The following is a 22,675-nucleotide window of genomic DNA, read 5'->3' on the forward strand; positions in this document are numbered from 1 at the left end:
GTGTGAGTGTGTGTGTGGTGTATGCATGTGTGTGGTGTGTGGTGCGTGTGTGTGTCTGGTGTGTGTGTTTGCGTGTCCTTTGTGTCTGGTGTGTGTGGTGTACGTATGGTGTGCGTGTAGGTGTGTAGTGTGTGTGTGTTTGGTGTTGGTGTGTGTGGTGTGCATGTGTGTGGTGTGTGCGCTTGTGTGTCCAGTGTGTGTGTATGGTGTATGTGTGTCTGGTTTGTGTGGGGTGTGTGCGTGTGTGTGTGTGGTGTATGCATGTGTGTGTCGTGTGTGGTGCATGTGTGTGATGTGTGTCTGTGTGTGATGTGTGTCTGTGTGTGTGTGTGGAGAGGGAGATTTATCATGAGGAACTGGCTCATGTGATCACAGAGGCTGGCATGTCCACATCTGTGGTTCTGCCTGGCGGGCTTGTGTGCTGTCCACACATGGAGAGCTGATGATGCAGTTCCCGATGGCGGTGGCCGGCAGAGGTGAAATCCAGAGGCACCTGCTGGAGACTTTTCCCTTACCCAGGGGAGGGTTGGTCTTGAATGTGGGTTGAATGAGGTCCACCCCACATTACAGAGAGCAGTGGTCTTCACTCTGTGGATTAAAGTGATAATCTCATCTCAGAGCACCTTTGTAGAAGTATCTGTAAGGTACTGTCAAGTGTACTTGACCAAGTATCTGAGTACCCCGTGGCCCAGCTAAGTTGACACAACATTAACCATCACAGCATCTAAGAAATTGGTGCTCTTCTTGGTTCTTAGTATGACAAGTGAGTTTCAGTTGAAAACTGGCCATTTTTGGCCTTTCAGCATGGGACCTTGGATCTCAGTTAAGCATTCTGCGTTGGCTGTCAGGGAAGGAGGAGGGCTGCTGTCTTGTTGCCGGTGAGTGCAGAAGTCTAGGTTCCCCACTTGGCATCTGTTGACTTATGGTAGCGTGTTCTCCTTACTGCTGGGCGGGGGTGGCCGGTCTGGCTCCCCACCATGCCTCAAGGGAACTTTCCTGGCTGGGAGGGTTAGAGGTGCCTTGTTCTTGTTCTCCACGTGATTTCTGCACACTGTGTGTGGGTGGGCGGCTTTGTGACTGCTGGATGGTGGTAAAAGTCCTGGCTGCACAAGGCCCTTCTGATAGCTCCCTAGCTGCAGGGGGTGCCCCTACTGCCTGTGTAAATGGAAGTCAAGGTGTCCCGTGTGGTCTTCACTAGTACCGCGGAGGTGGGCTTGGGCTGGGGGGCCGTGATAACCCCTGCTGAGGAGGAACGTTCCACTTCCTACTTGGCTTTCTCTGACAGCACCCCATGGAGGGTGAGGGGATTCGGATGCCTCACTGCAGTCTAGGTGCTCCTCTGGGTCTTTGCTGGAAGGGAGGGATGGAGATGGAGCCAGCGTTTTCTGTGAGTTGTCTGAGAGCTCCCTGTCCTGCTAGGCTGCCTTGGTTAGGGAGAGCTGGCTTTTGCTGGTACTTTTTTTGGTCGTCTGTGCCCCTTGGGCATTTCCAAATTTTAGGCTTCAGCAGCTCCAAATGTGGGATATAAGAGGCAAGAAGAAAACCCCAGAAACACACCTTATATCCTGGGGTCCTAGCTAGTCTGCTCTATTTTCTCCATCTTTCAGAGTCATTCTATATTTGCTTTATGAATAATTTTCAGTATGTTAATTCCACCTAGTGGGAACAATATGGCAGAGTATGTCTGCTCCATCTTCCCAGAAGTGGAAGTCCTGTTTTTTAAGATGAGAGGAATTAGAGCCAGTTGGCTACTGATGGGAACACTCCACTGGGGAGGGAAATTGCGGGAGCCAAGTGCTTGAGCAGGTGAGAGGGGCTGAGGCTACAGCAGCGATATCTCCTTTTTCTCAAGAAGGGAGGACAGGTTTGAGGGTGTGCTTGTGGGAAGTTGGTGGCTTTGGTGGCCACTCAGTCCACAGATCTGAGCTGCATGTGAGTCCGGACAGAGGTGTGGTCTAGTGGTTCATATTCTAGGAACATGAACTGCAGCTGGAGCTGAGATTCTGAATGTCACTTCTGGTTTCGGATCCAGGAATCTCAGGGGCCAGCCTGGAATCAGTGTCCAAGGGTCAGGAACCACGAGCTTCAGTCCATGCAGGGGTGGAGGCTGCAAATCCGCCAGGCTGGCAGACACTGGAGGGCAGGAATGCCAACAGCAGCACCTGGAGATCAGCGCCCGCTGCAGGGCAGTGCCCCAACTGTCCTCCTGCCTCTGTCTTGGTGGAGTCCATCCCATGTCTTGTGAACTGCCTCTGAAGAGAGGCGTCCAGGAACGGGACTAGGGGCTGCCTCCCTTGGCACCCACCACCCTCCTGGTTTCTCTCCAGCACCAGACTTGCAGGGAGAAAGAGGTTCTCTACACCCCTTAGCCACATCCCCTGGGAATGCATAAAAATGAAACAACTATGGAATCAAATTGGGTTCAAAGGAGCGCACCCTTTTGTGGGCTGTGCTATAAAAAGCAAAAGATCTGGGAAAGAAGGTCCCTCTTTGCTTTCAGCTATTCAGATCATGCCTGAGTGCTGGGCGCTGTCTCAGGCCAGGCATGTGGTGAAACTGAAAATGCAGATGGGCCCACTGTTGCCTCTCAGCTGTGGGAGCTGCTGCATGTGGACTTGGGTCTGATGTGGACTTGGGCCTGTGGGCCCCCTTCAGGAGGACATGGCTTTGGAGCTGCCCAGGATGTCTGGTAGCCAGGGAGGTGTCTGGCAGAGGTTGGGTGCTCATGCCACCTCGGGGCATCCACACTGCTGTGGCTCCCTGGGCCTACTGCTTGGCTTTTGAGTGTTGCCAGGCAGTGGCTGGCAGCACTGAGTGTCCCTGGTCCTCTGGGAGCTGCAGTCCAGAGAGAACTCTGCCAGCAAGGGCACGTCTGCCTGTGGGTGCTGCCTGGACTCCAGCCCCATGCTTGGACCTCCCTGTGACTGGCCTCCCCACTGCCTGGACCCTACCAGGTGTGTGCTTCTGAGAAGGAGGCCTGTTGGGGGCTGGGGGTGCTCCTGTGGCCGGGACTGTGTTTTGTCCCTGTCCTTCCTCATCTCCCTCTCCTTGCTTCCAGACAAACGATGCGGCCGGCAACACCTGGAACTGGCTCTACTTCATCCCTCTCATCATCATCGGCTCCTTCTTCATGCTCAACCTGGTGCTGGGCGTGCTCTCGGGGTGAGAGACCATGTGGGGGATGTGCAGGTGCCCCTCTGTGTTCTCAGCTGAGGGGTCAACAGGGGCACGTGTGACACTTGGGGTGGGGGCCTGGCCCATGGGTGCCCTCTGTGGTGGTTGCCCCTGGTGTTCTGGGTTCTGGTAGCCCTTCCTTTGTGCCACCATCCTGACCTGTCCTTGATCAGCCTCTCGGCCCCTTATCCCTGTCATACCCCTGGCCTTTCCGTGGTCTCTGCCATGGGAGAGTAGCTGCCACTACTCATCTGGGTAGACAGGAGGTGTGGTCTGTAATGGGAGGTTGGTCTGGGGGGATGGGAGGTGTGGTCTGTAATGGGAGGTTGGTCTGGGGGGATGGGAGGTGTGGTCTGTATTGGGAGGTTGGTCTGGGTGGATGGGAGGTGTGGTCTGTGATGGGAAGTGTGGTCTTGGTAGATGGAGGTGTGGTCTGGGACAGGGTTTCTGAGCAGCCTCTGTGGCCACAGAGAGCCCCTCTGTTACTGTGGTGAGAAATAACTGGGGGCACCCTGATCTCTGTAGCAGTCACCACTGGGCTCGCCACCCTGGCCCTGACTGCTGGTGTCCACTTCCTCTCAGGTCACCTCTTTGTGCCAAGCTACTCCAGGGGATGGTGAGAGAGAGGGCTCAGGGCTGGGGGTCCATGCTGGAGAAGGTGGAGAAAGAGTCCTCTCTGGGAGTGGGATGTGGTAGGCGGGCATGGCCAGGTGGGCCTGTGGGCACACAGCCCCTCCTGTCCCACCCTGGGGCTGAGAGCTGAAGAGATGCCATGTATGGGGCCTGACTGGGTTTGGTATTTGGGGCTCCTGCCCTACCACAGGGCAAGGAGTTGTGCTAGGAAGGAGGTGGAAGGCATCAGGCCTGCCTGGCTTCCTGCTCCCACCTTGGCCTCAGCTCCCCAGTGAGGCTGGAGGAGTACATCTCCCCTCTGTCCTCACTATGATCCCTGCTCAGGCCCACGGCTCCGAGCCAGGCTGGGGATAGAGCCTGGTGAACCTGGGAGTTCTGCCACGCTGAGCAGGACAGGAGCAGCCAGAGTGGGGATGGCTGGAGCCGAAGCCTCTGGGCTCCAGCAGGAGATCGTGCCCTTGGTTTTGGCCCTGTCCTGTAAAGGGTGTGATTGTCATTAGCAGGCCTCTCCAAAAGCCTCCATGGGAACCAGCAAGCGACCGGCTCACGGGATGGAAATAGAACTCCTAGCCTGGCGGGGTAGCTGGCGGAGGCTTGAGGCTTGGAGGAGGCACCGGGGGAGGGACATCTCAGCTGAGACCCCACTGGGGGACTAGGAATGAGCCAGGCTAAGGAAGGAGGAGGGTCTTTCAGGCAGAGAACAGCTGGGGTGGAGGCACAGTGGACAGAAGGTTGTGGCCTGTGTGTTGCAGAGATGCTTGGAGCTGGAGTCAGAGGGTGTTGTGGGGAGAGGGCACAGGGGCTGTCAGGGGGCTGGCAGCCACCAGGCTTGTGAGGTGCCTGGGCTGTGCTGAGGGTGCTGCCTGGTGCCAAAGGTGCTGAGAACGCTGCCTGGTGGGAAGCCTGGCAGGAGCATAGGTGGGTTCAAGGGGAGGCAGGAGAGCAGCCTGCTCAGGGCTTCCTTCTGCATCCCTCTAGGGAATGTGCAGAATAGCCTGAGGGGCTGGAGGGGAGGCCCAAGGCAGGGCCTGCACGGTATTTCCCACTCCTTCCCCACTGTGAGGATCCTGGCCTCTGGGGAGAATGGGATATGTGATGTTCCTCCCATCAGCGCAGCTGAACCCTCCCTCAGGCCCACAGGCCCAGCAGAGGGCCCCCAAGCCAGGGGCTGGCACCCCCCATGTGGGTCCTGCACCCCGGGGTGGCAGTGGTGAGAGGCCGCCTTCCCAGCCTTGCTCTGTGGGAAAAGCCGCGGCTCTGCCATGTCTGGGCGAGAGCTGCAGGAGGGGCCAGCTTGGGGCCAATTCGGCATCTCTCTCTCCATTCCCAGAGCTCCCATCCTCACAGCATCCCAGAGAAGCAGAAGAGGTGGCCCCTGTCCTGCCTCTTCTCACCCAGCGAGGACAGAAGCTCAGGGAGGGCTGGCCCTGCTGCCGGCCACTGCGTGAGAAGCAGCTGCTCTGTGGAGGGGGCCAGACTGCTGGGGGGAGTTGCTGCTGGGAGCTCTCAGATCAGTTCAAGCAGTGATGTCCTTGCCCTTCCCCTGCCCCCCAGGCCCTCTCATTCTCAGGGCATGGCCACAGGGATTGGTCTGGGTGGGGAGGCCACAGTGGACCCTGCCTTCCTGTAGATTTGGGACTTGGGATGCCCAGATGGGAGGGTGCACCTGGGCAGGCCTGGTCACCTTGCACTGCCTGGGCTGTAGCAGCTCAGTGCCTAGCGGACACTGGCCCTGCGCCCAGGGTCAGTCACGGTCAGAGCCGGGGATTGTTGCACCGGGGCTGTGTGTGCTGGGAGTCATACCTGCCACACCCACTCCACCAACTCAGAAGCTTGTGTGTGTGTGTGTGTGTGTGTGAGAGAGAGAGAGAGAGAGAGAGGGGGAGAGAGAGAGAGAGAGAATGGCTTGCTTCTGGCACTGTGAGCCTTAAAGCTTGGCCAGGAGGCTGGGGCTGGGCTGGGGATGCTGAGCTGGAAGGGCAAGTGTTCTCTGCTGGTCACCATGACGGCTGTGAAGGCTCAGGCGGGGCTGGGGTGAGATGTCGGGGGCCAATGACAGAAGGTCTCCTCTCCTGCTCACTGTGAGCCTCAGAGGCTTGGTTGAGGAGGCTACGTGGACTCTGCGGTATTACCCTTCTGCCTCTGGCCTGCCCTGACCCAGTCCCTTCTTCCCTGTCCCTGTCTGTCCCTCCCACTTCCCACAGAGGCTTTGCATCTGAACCAACAGAGGAAGCAAAGTGAACGTTCTCCTCTGGAGAATTCTCGCCAGGAGCTCTCTGGAGGACAGCAGATAACAGAGCCTGGCACAAGGGGAGGGAGGAGGCGCATGCCTAGGTTGCTGTAGGCAGGGGCTGTGAAATTGTCCCTGCTCTCTAGAACTGCCCCTCTGGGGACCAAGGCACCGTCCCTAAGTGCCACGGGAGTCTGAGGATGGAGGGCCACCTGGGCTGCTCATGGAGGCCCTCTGGGTGCCCAGGGAGCTGTCTGGTGCTCTGGAGTGCTCATCTGGAGTGCTCAGGTTAGAAGAGGCCTGGGTGGCAGGGGCCTGCCTGAAGCAGCAGCCTGCAGCCTGCGTCTCCTGTCCCAGGCTTTCCCTGGTCCTTTTTGTCTCTGGGGCTGCACACCTGTGGGGCTTGCACTCACCTGATCTTGCTTTTCCGGCCCCTGCATGGTAGGGAGTTTGCCAAGGAGCGAGAGAGGGTGGAGAACCGCCGCGCCTTCCTGAAGCTGCGCCGGCAGCAGCAGATCGAGCGAGAGCTCAACGGGTACCTGGAGTGGATCTTCAAGGCGGGTGAGGGCCCGTGGGAGCCACTGCACTCCTGGCCGGCCACTGTTAGTTCTCTGTCCCCAATTCTGCTCTGCTGCCAGCTGGGGTGCCCTGGCTGCTGGGTAGAGCCTGAAGGGATTTTGTAGTGAGCAGAGTGAGAAGGGATTTCTCTCTAGCTCACCCAGGGGCCTGGCACCAGGCAGCCATATGGCTCTGAGGACAGTGGCCTTTTAAATGGAGGACTCTGCCATGGCCCAGCCTAAAGCTGGTCTCTCCCCATTAGTGTCAGCCAAGTCCCTTCTGTGCCCTGACTCTGGGTTTTGTCAAGCCTGGACTCCCTCCCCTCGCCCCAGGCCAGCACTCTTTCCTCCACATGGGGCATCCACTCACACCTCCTAAGGTTTCCCAAGTGCCTCTTCAGAGATGAACTCGCCTGTGGCACAGCTGTTCTCAGGGAAGCGACGTGTGGGTAGGGACGGGCAGACACAAGGCGGCTGAGTCCTCTTCACAGGGGACTGTCTGTCCCTGTAGAAAAAGCTCAGCTGTGGGCCCTGCTGGCTTCTGGAAGTCTAAGAGCTGATAAGGCAGCCAGGTGCAGTGGCTCACGCCTACAGTCCCAGCACTTTGGGAGGCCGAGGTGGGCGGATCACCTGAGGTCAGGAGTTCAAGACTATCCTGGCCAACATGGTGAAACCCCATCTCTACTAAAAATACAAAAATTAGCCGGGCATGGTAGCACGTCCCTGTAATCCCAGTGGGGAGGCTGAGGCAGGAGAATCGCTTGAACCCGGAAGGTGGAGGTTGCAGTGAGCCGAGATTGTGCCACTGCACTCCAGCCTGGGTGACAGAGCGAGACTCCATCTCAAAAAAAAAAAAAAAAAGAGCTGAGAAGGCAGGGCCTTCCAGACAGAGATGTGCCTCTGTCCTGGGGCATTCCTGGGGTCAGGAGGGCTCTGACCTGAGGCTGTGTTCCCCTCGCAGAGGAAGTCATGCTGGCCGAGGAGGACAGGAATGCAGAGGAGAAGTCCCCTTTGGACGGTAGGTGGCACTTGCTGGTACTCCTGTGTGGTGGAGTGCTCTGGTGGCCACGTGGGTGGTGACACGTGCCTGCTTGCATGTTTCACGCGAAGTGCTCTTGGCAGTGCCAGGCACCTGCACAGCCATCACATGAACACAGACTAGGGCCATGGTGTCTGACCCTGGCACCTGACACAGGCCCACACTGCAGGTTTAAACCGAGCTGTGTCTATCCCCAGGGCTTGGGGTGCTGCTGCTCCCAGAGACCATGGGAGGGCTCATGGCACAACCTGGGGCCATGAGAGGGAGCCCGGGCCCCACTGCTGTGGTTGCTGGCACTAGTTACCAGCATAGCTGCAGCAGCAGGAAGGCTGCCCTCTCTGCACACCCACCGCTCAGGTCAGGGCCAGACAGCATGGGCACTTCCGTGGCAATCTCAGCCGGCCCCATGCCTGCGGCTCTGAGCAGGTCTATGCTGTCCCTGTTGTAGTCCTGGCCTTGCCCCAGATGGACGTTTCCTGGTCTCCCTGGTGGCCAGGCCTCCCCACTGGCCTCATTTTGGAAGAAAGGGAAAGCGGGGACCCCTCACCCTCAAAATTCCTTGTCCCTTCAGCTCTGGGGACTGGGAGGGACCCAAGGGGGCCCACAATCATCCGGCCTCAGCCCCAGTTCAGGACAGGAGCTCAGGAGAGGTCACTGGTCCCAGGGGGAGGGTGATCCCATGCCCCGCTGAGGCAGGTGGCCTGAGGGCTGCAGCTCAGGCAGTCTCTCCCATCCTTTGTTTAAAGCAGTGCTGAAGAGAGCGGCCACCAAGAAGAGCAGAAATGACCTGATCCACGCAGAGGAGGGAGAGGACCGGTTTGCAGATCTCTGTGCTGTTGGTGAGTCTCAGGGTGTCCCTCCAGCTCTGCCAGGCTTGAGCTGGACATGGAGTGCATGCTCCGCTTCCCCTGCTACCCAGCCACTGTTGGACGCCCCTTCTTGCCCAAACGCCTGCAGGCTCCTTTCAGACAGTTTGCTGCTCCTGGCTTTGTGACCCCCATGTGGACATAGGGCCCTTAGCCATATCCCAAGGCTGGAGGACTCTATAGGGCCACCTCTCTCTTCAGCCCCTGTCTCTTTTTCACTTTCTGGACCTGCTGCCTCTGAGGCTGTTGTGTCATCCCCTACCTCTCAAATAGTACAAGGAACATTCTGGTTAATTTATCCAACAGAGCTGTGTCGGTTCCCTTCCTCTCTATCTGGTACCAGATTCTGGTTCCAGAAGTGCCTGGGCCTTGCTTCATTTTGAGACACCAAGTCAGATCCAATCTGGACTTCCTTGCTGTACAGCAGTCTGTGAGTGGACCAGATTTAGAAGATGTCTACCATTATATTGTTACATGTATGAGACAGAACTCTTTAATAAAACAGGAAACACACACACACTCATGCGTACACACACATACACTTAAACTGGACCTTTTCTGTCCTCACTCAGCACTAGGAAACTCCTGTTAACAACTTCCAATGTACCCTTCCCTATTTCTCCATGCTCACCTCAGATAACACACACAAACACTCATACATCCACACACAAATATGCATGTAGAGTTTTGGAGTCTTCTGTTACAAAAATGATTTCATACAAACTTTTCTCACCAGTCCCTTTCCTAATCTGCTCCTAATCAATTTGTCTGATTCTAGCCCCCCTTGTCGGGTGCAACCTGGCGTTGCTGATGTGGAGTCACTGGAGTTGTTCAGTTGCTCGTCTGCTGATCGTCTGCTGATGGCCATTTATTTCTAGTGCTTTTATCTCACTATGAAAAATACTGCCCCCAAGTCTTTGTGAATGGCTGTCCTTCCTCACTAGTGCTTTTCTCTGTGGGGCAGATTCCCAGGAGCAGGTGCTGAGGGTAAGGGTGTGGTACTGTTCAGAGTTCTGTGCGACCCCACATTCCATCCACAGTACAGGCCAACCTTCGCCCTCATCCAGTGCTATGTGACGGCTCCTTTTGATTTTTCCCAGTTTGAGGCCAATTTGATGAGTGTAGAGTAATATTTCTTTGGCACTACAATTTTCCTTTCTCCTACTGTCCGTGATGCTGGCCCTCTTTCTAAATGTTTGTTCCCTGTCTGGACTTGGCCTTTGGTGACTCTTCCCATATGCTATACAGTTTTCTAGTGAGTTTGTTTGTAAATTATTTTGTATTTATTTTGACAATAATGAGATACCAATGTATATCATAGATCTGAATGTTTTATCATCTTATAATTTTATTTTATTTAATTAATTTTTTTTTGAGACAAAAATTTCGCTCTTGTTGCCCAGGCTGGAGTGCAATGGTGCAATCTCGGCTCACTGCAACCTCTGTCTCCCAGGTTCTAGTGATTCTCCTGCCTCAGCAACCCGAGTAGCTGGGATTATAGGCATGCACCAACTGCCCAGCTAATTTTTTGTATTTTTAGAAGAGACAGGGTTTCACCGTGTTGGCCTGGCTGTTCTCGAACTCCTGACCTCAGGTGATCTACCCACCTTGGCCTCCCAAAGGGCTGGGATTACAGGTGTGAGCCACCACACCTGGTCCATCTTATAATTTTAAACAATTTATTATATGATTGTGGTAGCTAAATAGTTTCCTTCTATTGCTATTTTATCTAGAGTTTTTATTCTGATTTTGTAAAATGAATTGAAGAGTTAAAATGTCTTCATCTATGGTTTGGAATCCTTTAAATAACACTGGAATTATCTTTTTTTATAGATGAGATAAAACTGTGAATCTATATAATCCAAAAAAGAAAAAAAAAAAGGATTTGGACCAGTGTTGTGACTTAGGCTTTGTTAGGAAATCGCCCCGTTCTCAGGGTGTTGGGATCCCTTTCTGTGGCGCTGTGCACCGGCTCTCTGGCGATTCTCTTAACCTCGCCTGTGTCGAGTGCTTGTGCCTCATTCAGCAGATGTCTATCCAGTGCCCGCCACGTGCCAGCAACGGAGGCATGGGGGCCGCGACACTGGAGAAACTCCTAATAAAGGCCCTTCATCATTGGAGTTTCCGTCCAGTGGGGGCATCAAACAACAAATAAGATAGTAAGGAAAATAGGCCGCATGCCAGAGCCCCTGTCCGGAGGAGGAAGAGGTCAGGAAGGCAGGAGTGGAAGCGTGTGGAGGGGGGGCGGTGCCAGAAGTTCATGGCCATAGAAGGCCTGAGGAAAAAGACTGCCTTTGAGTAAAAGAGTTGCAGGAAGTGAGGACGCCTGAGGGACGCCGGGGCGGGGGAGAGGGGAGGTTGGCCTGAGGGAAGCCAGGGGAGGGGAGGTCAGCCTGAGGAACTACTCTCAGGCCGACCTGGAGAGAGAGGGGAGCTTGGCCTGAGGAACGTGTGTGGCGGGGAGGGAAAGTTGGCCTGAGTGAGGGGGAGGGGGAGGGAAGGTCGGCCGGAGGGAAGCCGGGAGAGGGGAGTTAGGCCTGAGGGACACCCGGAGAGAAGGGAGGTCCGGGGAGAGGGGAGGTCGGTCTGAGGGACACGGGGCGTGGGGTGGCGAGGTAGGGGAGCGGGAAGGGGAGGTTGGCCTGAGGGACGCGGCGGTGGGGTGTGGGGGAGGTTGGCCTGACTGGGGGGGAGGGGGAGGGGAGGTCAGCCTGAGAGACGGAGGGGGAGGGGAGGTCGGCCTGAATGAAGGACACCCAGGAGAGGGGAGATGCGAGACGCCGCCAGGGAGGGGAGGTCAGCCTGAGGGATGCCCAGGGGAGAGAGGGGAGGTCAGGGGAGAGGTGAGGTCGGCCTGAGGGACCTCTGGGAAAGGACATTCCAGGCAACGAGTGCCAAGACCCTGAGGCAAGGCTGTGCTTGGCACCCAGGTGTGGAGAACGTCTTGGAGGCCAGCGCGGCTGGAGTGAGGTGCCATGGGCTGTCGGTAGCGGTCGAGGAAACCTGAGAGTCAGACAGGCTCACTTCCAACCGGGACCCCAGGCCGCCCTGGTGGTTTGCAGAGGGGTGACACCCTCTGGCTTCTGTGGTATAAGGGTCTCTCTGGAGACTGTGTAAAGTGTTCCTTTTTCTCCACAACCTCTCCATCATGTTTGTTTTGTTTTGTTTACTTTTTAATAATAGTCATTCTGATTGGGGTGAGATGATATCTCATTTTGGTTTTGATTTGTATTTCTCTAATAATCAGTAACGTTGGTTTTTTTTCATGTTTGTTGGCCACACGTATGTCTTCTTTTGAGAAGTGTCCGTTCATGGCCTTTGCCTACTTTTTAATGGGGTTGTTTGTTCTCTCAGCACCGTTTATTAAGTAGGGTATTCTATTTAATAATAGGGAATACATCCTAGCTTTATTCCTAGGTATTTTATTTTTATTTTTTTGTGGCAATTGCAAATGGGAGTTCATGCATAATTTGGCTCTCAGCTTGCCTGTTGTTGGTATATAAGAATGCTGGCGATTTTTGAACATTGATTTTGTATCCTGAGACTTAGCTGAAGTTGTTTATCAGCTTGAGAATATTTTGGGCTCAGATGATGGCATCTGCAAACAAAGATGGTTTGACTTCCCTTTCTATGTAAATACCCTTTATTTCTTTATCTTGCCAGATTGCTCTGGCCAGAACTTCCAATACTATGTTGGATAGGAGTGGTGAGAGACATCTTGTCTTGTGCAGGTTTTCAAGGGGAATGCTTCCAGCTTTTGCCCATTCATGATGATATTGGCTATGGCTTTGTCATATATGTCTCTTATTATTCTGAGGTATGTCCCTTTAATATCTAGTTTATTAAGAGTTTTTAACATGAAGGGATGTTGAATTTTATTGAAGGTCTTTTCTGCATCTATTGAGATAATCATGTGGTTTTTGCCTTTAGATCTGTTTATGTGATGAATCACATTTATTGATTTGGGTATGTTGAACCAACCTTGCATCCCAGGGATGAAGCCTACTTGATTGTGGTGGATAGATTGTGGTGGATAAGCTTTTTGATGTGCTGCTGGATTTGGTTTGCCAGTATTTTGTTGAGGATTTTTGCATCAATGTTCATCTAGGATATTGGCCTGAAGTTTTCTTTTTTTGTTGTATCTGTCAGGTTTTGGTATGAGGATGATGCTGGTCTCATAGAATGAGTTAGGGAGGAGTCCTTCCTTTACAATTGTTTAGAATAGTTTCAGTAGAATTGATACCAGCTCATCTTTGTACCTCTGGGAGAATTGAGCTGTGAGTCCATCTGGACCTGGGCTTTTTTTGATTGGTAGGCTATTTATTACTGCCTCAATTTTAGACCTCATTATTGGTCTTTTCAGGGATTCAATTTATTCCTGGTTCAATCTTAGGAAGGTGTATGTGTCCAGGAATTTATTCATTTCTTCTAGATTTTCTAGTTTATGTGCATAGAGGTGTTTATAGTATTCTCTGATGGTTGTCTGTATTTCTGTGGGGTCAGTGGTGATATCTCCTTTATCATTTCTGATTGTGTTTATTTGAATCTTCTCTCTTCTCTTTTTTTTTAGTCTAGCTAGTGGTCTATCTATTTTATTAATTTTTTTTTTTTTCAAAAAACTAGCTCCTGTTTTCATTGATTTTTTTGATGGATTTTTCATGTTTTCTATCTCCTTCAGTTCAGCTCTGATCTTAGTTATTTCTTGTTTTCTGCTAGCTTTGGGGTTTGTTTGCTCTTGGTTCTCTAATTCTTTTAGTTGTGATGTTAGGTTGTTAACTTGAGATCTTTCTTTTTGGTATGGGCATTTAGTGCTATAAATTTCCCTCTTAACACTGCTTTAACTGTGTCCCAGAGATTCTGGTATGTTATATCTTTGTTCTCATTAGTTTCAAAGAACTTTTTGATTTCTGCATTAATTTCATTATTTACCCAAAATTCATTCAGGAGCAGGTTGTTCATTTTGCATGTAGTTGTGTGGTTTTGAGTGAATTTCTTAATCTTGAGTTCTAATTTGATTGTACCATGGTCTTAGAGACTGTTATTATTTCAGTTCTTTTGCATTTGCTGAGGAGTGTTTGACTTCCAATTATGTGATCAATTTTAGAGTAAGTGTTGTGTGGCGATGAGAAGAATGTATATTACGTTGTCTTTGGGTGGAGAGTTCTGTATATATCTATCAGGTCCACTTGATCCAGAGGTGAGTTCAACTCCTGAATGTCTTTGTTGATTTTCAGTCTTGATGATCTGCCTAATATTGTTGGTAGGTTGTTAAAGTCTCCCATTGTTATTGTGTGAGAGTCTAAGTCTCTTTGAAGTCTCCAAGAACTTGCTTCATGAATCTGGGTACTCCTGTATTGGGTACATATATATTTAGGACACTTAGCTCTTCTTGTTGAATTGAACCCTTTACCACTATGTAATACCCTTCATCATCTTTTTTGATCTTTGGTGATTTAACGTCTGTTTTGTCAGAAACTAGGATTGCAACCCCTACTCTTTTCTGTTTTCCATTTGCTTCATAAATTTTCCTCCATCCCTTTATTTTGAGCCCATGTGTGTCTTTGCATGTGATGTGGGTCTTTTGAAGACAACATACTGATGGGTATTGGTTCTTTAACCTGCCTGCCATTCTGCGTCTTTTAATTGGTGCATTTAGCCTATTTACATTTAAAGTTAGTATTGTTATTATTATTATTTTTTGAGACAGTCTCACTCTGTCGCCCAGGCTGGAGTGCAGTGGCGTGATCTCAGCTCACTGCAACCTCCGCCTCCCAAGTTCAAGTGATTCTCCTGCCTCAGCCTTCCAAGTATCTCTGGGACTACAGGCATGTGCCACCACACCTGGCTAATTTTTTTGTATTTTTAGTAGAGATGAGGTTTCACCATGTTGGTCAGGCTGGTTGAACTCCAGACCTCAAATGATCTGCCTGCCTCGGCCTCCCAAGGTGCTGGGATTATAGTCGTGAGCCACCATGGCCCGCCTAAAGTTGGTATTGTTACGTGTGGATTTGATCCTGTCATCATGATGCTAGCTGGTTATTTTGCAGAGTTTTTATGTAGTTTCTTCATAGTGTCACTGGTCTGTTTACTTCAGTTTGTTTTTGCAGCGGCTAGTAATGGTTTTTCCTTTCCATATTTAGTGCTTCCATTAGGACCCCTTGTAGGGCAGGTCTGGTAATAACGAATTCCCTCAGCATTTGCTTGCCTGAAAAGGATCTTATTTCTCCTTCACTTATGAAGCTTGATTTGGCCAGATATGAAATTCTGGATTTGGAATTCTTTTAAGAATGTTGAATATTGGCCCCCAATCTCTTCTAGCTTGTAGGGTTTCCACTGAGAGGTCCACTGCTAGTCTGATGGGATTCCCTTTGCAGGTGACCTGGCCTTTCTCTCTGGCTGCCCTTAACATTCTTTCCTTCACTTCAACCTTAGAGAGTCTGATGATTATGTGTCTTGGGGATGATCTTCTCATGGAGTATTTTACTGGGGCTCTCTGCATTTCCTGAATTTGAATGTTGGCCAGTCTTGCTAGGTTGAGGAAGTTCTCCTGGATGATATCCTGAAGTACATTTTCCAACTTGTTCCAATCTCCCTGTCTCTTTAAGTTATCCTAATCAGTCATAGATTCAGTCTCTTTACATAATCCCATATTTCTCAGAGGTTTTGTTCATTTCTTTCCACTCTTTTTTCTCTGTTTTTGTCTGCCTGTCTTATTTCAGAAAAATTGTCTTCCAGCTCTGAGATTCTTTCCTCTGCTTGATCTGTTCTGCTATTAATACTTGTGATTGCATTGTGAAGTTCTTGTAGTGTGTTTTTCAGCTCTAACAGGTTGGTTATGTTCCTTTCTAAACTGGCTGTATTGGCTATCAGTTCCTGTATTGTTTTATCATGATTGTTAGCTTCTTTGCATTGGGTTACCACATGCTCTTATAGCCTCATAAGTGAAGTTCATTATTACCCACCTTCTGAAGCCTACTTCTATCATTTCAACAGTCTCAGTTTCAGCCCAGTTCTGAGCCCTTGCTGGAGAGGTGTTGTGGTCATTTGGAAGAAAAGGGGCACTCTGGCTTTTTGAGTTTTAAGCATTTTTGTGTTGATTATTTCTCATCTTTGTGGGCTTATCCACCTTTGATCTGTGAGGTTGCTGACCTTTGGATGGGGTTTTTGTGTTTTGTTGTTGTTGTTGTTTTCTGTTTGTTTGCTTTCCTTTTAGCAGTCTGGCCTCTCTTCCCTAGGGCTGCTGCAGTTTTCTGTGGGTCCACTCCAGAGCCTAGTTGCCTTGGTTTTCCCTGTACTTGGTGGTATCGCCAGTGAAGGTCGTGAAACAGCAAAGATGGCATCCTGCCGCATCCTCTATAAGCTTTGTCCCAGGGGGTGCTGACCTATTGCTGGCCTGAATGTGCCTGTAGGAGGTGGCTGGAGACCCCAGTTGGGAGGTCTTACCCAGTCAGGAGGAATGGGATCAAGGACCCATTTAAAGAAGCAGCCTGACTGCTTTTTGATAGAGCAGCTGTGCTGTTTTGGAGATGCCTTCGTTCCCTGATCAGTTTGAGCTTTCCAAGTCCCACAGGCTGGAATGGCTGAGAAGCCTGAATGACCAAAGTGGTGGCCTGCCCTGCCCCTCCTGTGTCCTGTGTTTAAAAGATATTGGATTATAGGTATATTTATTAAAATCAAGTCTATTGGCCGGGCGCGGTGGCGCATGCCTGTAATCCCAGCAGTTTGAGAGGCTGAGGCCAGAAGATTGCTTGAGGCCAGGAGTTTGAGACAAGCCTGGACAACATAGTGAGATCCCACCTCTACAAAGAAATTAAAAACTTAGCTGAGCATGGTGGTGCATGCCTGTAGTCCTACTTCATTTTATTTATTTATTTATTTATTTATTTATTTATTTATTTATTTAAGACAGAGTCTAACCCTGTCGCCTAGGCTGGAATGCAATGGCATGATCTCGGCTCATTGCAACCTCTGCCTCCTGGGTTCAAACGATTCTCCTCCCTCAGAGGGATTACAGGCACCCACCACCACGCCCAGCTAATTTTTGTGTTTTTAGTAGAGACAGGGTTTCACCAGGTTGGCCAGGCTGGTCTTGAACTCTGACCTCATGATCCGCCCGCCTTGGCCTCCCAAAGTGTGGGGATTACAGGCGTGAGCCACTGTGCCCAGCTCATTTTATTTTTTATGAAGTTCCTCTTGTATTTCTAGTGACTTTTGTTTATATATTTAGTCACTGTATAGTTTGGGCAATATAAAGTTTATGATTGTTACATCTTCTTCCTAAATTATGCTTTATTTCATCACACAGTACCTTCTTAATCTGTGCAGTTCCTCTGCTGGACAGTTGCACCTTGTCGACATTGAATGTCATTGGTTCTACTTTTTGTTGCTATCACTGGTTTTGGTTTTTAACTTGCATTTGCCTGGTACCTTTCTTTTCCTTTCATTTCCAGCTCTTCTTTATCATTTTAAGTGTTCTTGTAAATTGTATTTACCTGGGTTCTGCCTTTTAAATTTTTTTTTTTTTTTTTGAGACAGAGTCTTGCTCTGTTGCCCAGGCTGGAGTGCAGTGGCGCGATCTTGGCTCACTGCAAGCTCTGCCTCCCGGGTTCATGCCATTCTCCTGCCTCAGCCTCCTGAGTAGCTGGGACTACAGGCACCTACCACCAGGCCTGGCTAATTTTTTGCATTTTGTTTAGCAGAGACTGGGTTTCACCGTGTTAGCCAGGATGGTCTCGATCTCCTGACCTCGTGATCTGCCTGCCTCAGCCTCTGAAAGTGCTGGGGTTACAGGCGTGGGCCACTGTGCCTGGCCAAAATTTTTTTTATTTTTTATTTTTTTAATGAGACGGAGTCTTGCTCTGTCACCCAGGCTGGAGTGCAGTGGTGCGATCTCAGCTCCCTGCAACCTCTGCCTCCTGGGTTCAAGCCATTCTCCTGCCTCAGCCTCCCAAGTAGCTGGGACTACAGGCACGTGCCACCACGCCCAGCTAATTTTTTGTATTTTTAGTAGAGAAGGAGTTTCACCATGTTAGCCAGGACAGTCTCGATCTCCTGACCTCGTGATCCGCCCGCCTTGGCCTCCCAAAGTGCTGGGATTACAGGCGTGAGCCACCGCACCCAGCCAATTTTTTAAAATTTTATTTATGTATTTAAGAGACAGAGTTACGTTGCCCAGGATGATCCTCCTGTCTCAGCCTCCTGAGTAGCTGGGACTATAGGTGTGCACCACCATGCCTGGCTTGGTGGTTTTGCTTTTTTTTTTTTAAAAAAAAAACCCAGTTGTATGGTGTCTGTTTCTAATGGTAACGGGTGAATCCAGTCTCTCCATTTAGTATAATGTTTGACTCTATTCTTCATCCCAAGTTCTGCTGCTTTAATCGAGTTGCTGTTTATTGCTCCTCTCCTCCCTTGCTTATTTTTACTCTCTAATTCTTCTGTTCCACAAAAGGTTGCCTTCCCTTCCCTGCTCTCATAATTGTCAACGTACCTCTTTACTGTTTTTGTTTCTTTAGCATCTTTAGTACCAAGATGTACTAGTTCCATCACTCAATTGGTCTATTTCCCTTTATTCTGCCTCCACCCATACCCAGTAAGTCACAGCCTTTCCAGTACTTGCCCTGCCTCCGCATCCTGGTTTGAGGGTGTTCACTTTTCATTCTTGACTGTCGCCCGTCCCTTCAGACTGCCCCCACAGGCTCCCCTATGCCCAGGGGCCCTCAGCTATCATTCCCGTGGCCCGCTCTCAGAGCCCTAACCTCAGTCACCTAGGTTTACCTTAGCATCTTCTCTTCTCTTCAGTCCTTGCTCACTGCAGGACTGTCTCCTCCGTTTTAACTCTGTCCTGTCACTCGGCTGCTCTCCCCTGAAATGAATGGGGGTGTTGGTGGTGGCTGACTCTTCGAGTTCCTGTGTACTCTCAGGTGCCCTTCCTTGTTCCCCACTGAGGAGCGAGATCCAGGCTGCTGTGCCCACTGCAAGTGTCTCTCTCTCTCATTTCCTGTTGCACATGAGGCATCGGACACTCGGATGCTTTTCCTTTGTCAGTGACTTGCTCTCTGTCTGCCCCTCAAACTGCAGGCTCAGGGCCCCTCTGGCGCGGAGTGCTTCCCTCCGTTTGTCTCATTATTCTGTCTCCTTTTCTTGATCTCCTGCATCTGGAGCCCCTCCTGTTTCACGTGGTGTTGCTTGCTCTGCTCCTGTCAGTCCATGCCCTCTTCCTTGAGCTCGCGTTCACCTCCACGTTGGAGATGCTGCTTGCGCTTGACTGAACTCCCCTTTTTTTCATCTGCTGAGTGGTTTCCGAAGAGAATTTTATTTCTTCTCTAAAAGTTTTTTTCTCTCTCTTTTAGTTTTGTTTTATTTTGAGTTATGTGTTGCTATACTTGGATCTCTGGGCCTTTGTTGACTTTTCCTTCTGGGTACCCAGCAGACACCGAGGATTCACTTACATTCAGGACCCACTGGCCTCCACTGTTGGTTCAGGGTGGGCTTGGGGCCTGGGGCCTGGTGGGGAGGAGACGAAGCCGTGCTTGAATCTCCACATTCTCAGCACTGCTTGGTGCCCTCGACTGCCTTCTGCCTGAGGACTGGCTGTGTCACCACCCCAGGCTTGCCCATAACCCGTGTCACCCTGTCGGCCCTGACGCCTTGTCAGCTGGTTGAGCCCCGCTGAGCTTGGCCCTGTGCTGTCTCACTGAATCCCACACCACCTTGTGAGGTACAGGTGACTGTGCTCTGTTTTCAGTTGAGGAATCTCCAGGCTGCGTGATGTGCACGAGGGCCAGGGGTGACAGCCATTAGGGCCTCCATCAGCTCGTGCTTTAGCCTCACGTCACTTTTGTTGCCCCCAGTGGCAAATACAGCAGCTGCACTGGAAGGAAACACTTTCTTGTCTGTCTCCCCACTGTCCTCTAGAAGGGTTATTGAGAACAGGGATGGATGTTGGTCATTTTGTGTTTTCTGGGCTTTGGTCAGGGCCTGGCACAATTTGTACACATTTTTTGAACAAATGGGGGTTACCCAGGACTAGCAAAGAGTCTGCCTTAGGGCACAAGAGAAAGAAATCTAAGTATTTGCAGCAGTCAGGCCCTATTCTCAGCAGTACTTCACTGTGTCATCATTCATAGGTTAATGTAATATGGAATTTCTCCCTAGCTTGAAGATGTCCTATCATTTTTCTTGAAATAAGCTTTTTCATTATAAAGAATATATGCTAATTAAGTGAACCCTGGAAAATGCAGGAAGCTGAAAAGAAGCCCAGTCTCTCTTGGTTTTCCCAAAGCTGTGATTCCAGAGATGTTTCCGCGTTTCCTGTAGACTCTCTGCTTTTACTGGAGCAGACTGGAGTCCACAGTGGCTGCTTGCTGTCCTTAGGGACCTGTGCCTCATCCCCGGGGAACAAATGCATCTGTCTTGGGTGCTGCTGGGGTTGCTGAGCTGGGATGTGAGGGGCTGCACCCAGCTCTCCCCCAGGGCGTCTGGATCAGGAGTCCCTCTGTTAGGTCTTGCTCAGTCCCCTGGCTCTGGCGCCTCTGGCTTCTCTAAAGTCGATGTTTACAGCAAGGAACTGGTGGACTTTAAGGGCAATGTCTGGGGAGTGTGGTTCTGTGCAAATACGGCTGTTGGCATGACTATGGTTGTGCCTGTGACAGGCGAGGATGTGTGTGGTTGTCTTGTGTTGTGTGCACAGGAAGATGTGTGTGTGTGGGGGGCTGTGGCCCATTGTGAAAGGGCAGCATTTCTATGAGGCCTTTCTCATAGCAGAGGCTGACTGGTTCTTACTGGCTGGTGGGGATGGCCACAGAGTCCCCTTTGGAGAATTTGTTGCTTGTCTTCCTGGCCACGTGTGTGTGCAGACACAGTGGGTTTACATGAGTCACGTGTTCTCTTTCCCTCCTTCCCAGAGTGGCCCTGTTTGTGTCCACAGGTGTGTGCCTCATGTGCACTGAGGAGTGTGTCTGTGTGAGCATCTCATTGGATCTTCAAAAGTGAGCGTGGTCAGGCTGGATGTGTGCTGTGAAGCATGTGCGTGTGTGACTCCTGTGTTCCTGCACAACTGTGTGTGGGTGCATGGGGGGTTCAGAGTGTGTGGGCTTGTTCTGTGCACAGCTCTGCCTGTGTGTGTGCCCCTCCTTATCTGCATTGCACACCTGCCTCCCTCCTGCCCTACTGCTGCCTCTGTGGGGAGTGGTCATCCCTGGCCTTCAGCAGGGCTGGCCACATGCCACTGAGAGCCTGGGTGTGCACATGTACACACATGTGTACAAACACACAGAAAATGCACATAGCACACGAGCTATGAGAGCCACTGAGAGCCTGGGTGTGCACACATATGCATGTGTGTACAAACAGAAAATATGCATAGCACACATGCCCACACTGCCCCTGCTCTTTTGTGCCACTGAGAACCTGGGTGTGCACACATATGCATGTGTGTACAAACACACAGAAAGTACATGTAGCATACACTGCTCCCCACATCCTCACACAGGGACCCCATGCTCAAGCCCAGGTATTCAAAGCCCACTGAGAGACCCATGGCTGGGGCACAGCTGTCTGCTCTCTGAGAACACTGAGAGGCACCCACATGGCCAGGCTTAGTGCACAAACTAAGAAACCCTTACACAGGCAGATGTGCTCTCCTGCAGAGACACAGCCAGCTCCTGTACAGACACACCTGAATCCTCATAGAGACCCTTCCCTCAGTTGTTAAGCATTGATCAAGCCCCTCTCAGTGTGAGGGGCTCAGTGGTGAAGAAGACAATGTGGCCCTGTCCTCATGGAGCCTACAGTCTTGTCTGGGAGTTGGGCATGGAACAGGTCAACAATAAAACACAGTGACAGGTGGTGATGTGGTCAGGGCCACTGTCGGAGGTGAGCCGAGGGCCCTGTTCTAAATGGTGTGCCCAGAGCAGGTGCTCTGTGCAGGTGACGTTAATGCTGAGACTTGAAAGTGTGTGGGAAGGAGTCCAGTGAGGGACGCATTTCACACTTGGGATATTGTGTGAAGGGCCAGGGCACAGCAGGACTGGTGTGCGTGGACATGGGAAAAGGCTGCTGGGTTGGGTGGTGAGCAGGGTAGAGAAGCAGTCAGGCTGGAGCAGGTAGACAAAGTTTCCAACAGTAAGTATTGTGGACATTGAACAGCCATGGACCATGCGTAAACCGATGAGCTTGGCTGTGTTCCAGGAAAACTGCTTAGAAAACAGGCAGCCCATGCGTGCTGACCCCTGAGTCCGGAGGGCGAGAGAGGGAGGGCCAGATGCTGCAGGGCTCTGTGGGCTATGCTGAAGAGATGGGATCTGGGGAGGGACTAACTCAGATTTATGTCTTCAGGGGAAAAAGCTTGGGGTGCTCATGGAGAGTGGCCTGGGGGCATCAGGGCTGTGCTCCTAGAAGGTGGCTGGGGATGCTGGGGACCAGAGAAGTGAGTACAGATCATCCACTTCAATCTGGCTCTCACATCTGGCACCCAGTAACCATGGAGATCATCAGGGCCTTGGTTCCCTCAGCTGTGAAGTGGAGGTCACAGGGGTCACTGGCACAATTGTCTGTGACCGGCTGGGGCTGGGGGCAGGTGTCCTCCAGAGTGCGTCTGTGGGGGTCCACAGGTGGGGTAGGCGGGTGCCCATTGGTCCCCACATCCTCAGTAACTCCCCATCCCCTCAGGATCCCCCTTCGCCCGCGCCAGCCTCAAGAGCGGGAAGACAGAGAGCTCGTCATACTTCCGGAGGAAGGAGAAGATGTTCCGGTTTTTTATCCGGCGCATGGTGAAGGCTCAGAGCTTCTACTGGGTGGTGCTGTGCGTGGTGGCCCTGAACACACTGTGTGTGGCCATGGTGCATTACAACCAGCCGCGGCGGCTTACCACGACCCTGTGTACGTATCCCCGTCCCTCCCTCAGGTGCTTCCTGAGCATCTCTGCTCTCAGTCTGGAAACCCTGGTCCATGCCCTGGGGCTACCCCAGGTGGGACGGGACCCACCCCCATGTTGCTCAAAGTATCCCACAGCCCTAGTCAGCCTCCAGGAGCCTCTGTGGGGGCCTGGGGTGTGTCCAGAGCTGGAGGGTGGCCTCTCCAGCCCCTGGGTTCCAGAAAGCACAGCTGGATCTGCTAGACCCCTGTCCCTCAGCATAGTGTGAGACTGGTTGAGGGGTCCGAGGCACCCAGGGCAGGA

At 51.5% G+C, this 22,675-nt stretch overlaps 1 protein-coding gene across 2 annotated transcripts in view; it reads left to right on the forward strand.

Moving 5' to 3' along the window:
• Nucleotides 1–22,675, forward strand: part of CACNA1B (calcium voltage-gated channel subunit alpha1 B) — a 246,838-nt gene that overhangs the window by 71,434 nt on the left and 152,729 nt on the right. For both annotated transcript variants that reach the window (NM_000718.4, NM_001243812.2), the window contains exons 7-11: nt 3,059–3,162; nt 6,483–6,598; nt 7,556–7,612; nt 8,383–8,472; nt 22,168–22,377. In NM_000718.4, coding sequence (NP_000709.1) covers nt 3,059–3,162; nt 6,483–6,598; nt 7,556–7,612; nt 8,383–8,472; nt 22,168–22,377 — 577 coding nt within the window. The remainder of the gene's footprint in view (nt 1–3,058; nt 3,163–6,482; nt 6,599–7,555; nt 7,613–8,382; nt 8,473–22,167; nt 22,378–22,675) is intronic.

Source organism: Homo sapiens, chromosome 9 (genome assembly GCF_000001405.40).
Source record: "Homo sapiens chromosome 9, GRCh38.p14 Primary Assembly".
Taxonomy (NCBI): domain Eukaryota; kingdom Metazoa; phylum Chordata; class Mammalia; order Primates; family Hominidae; genus Homo; species Homo sapiens.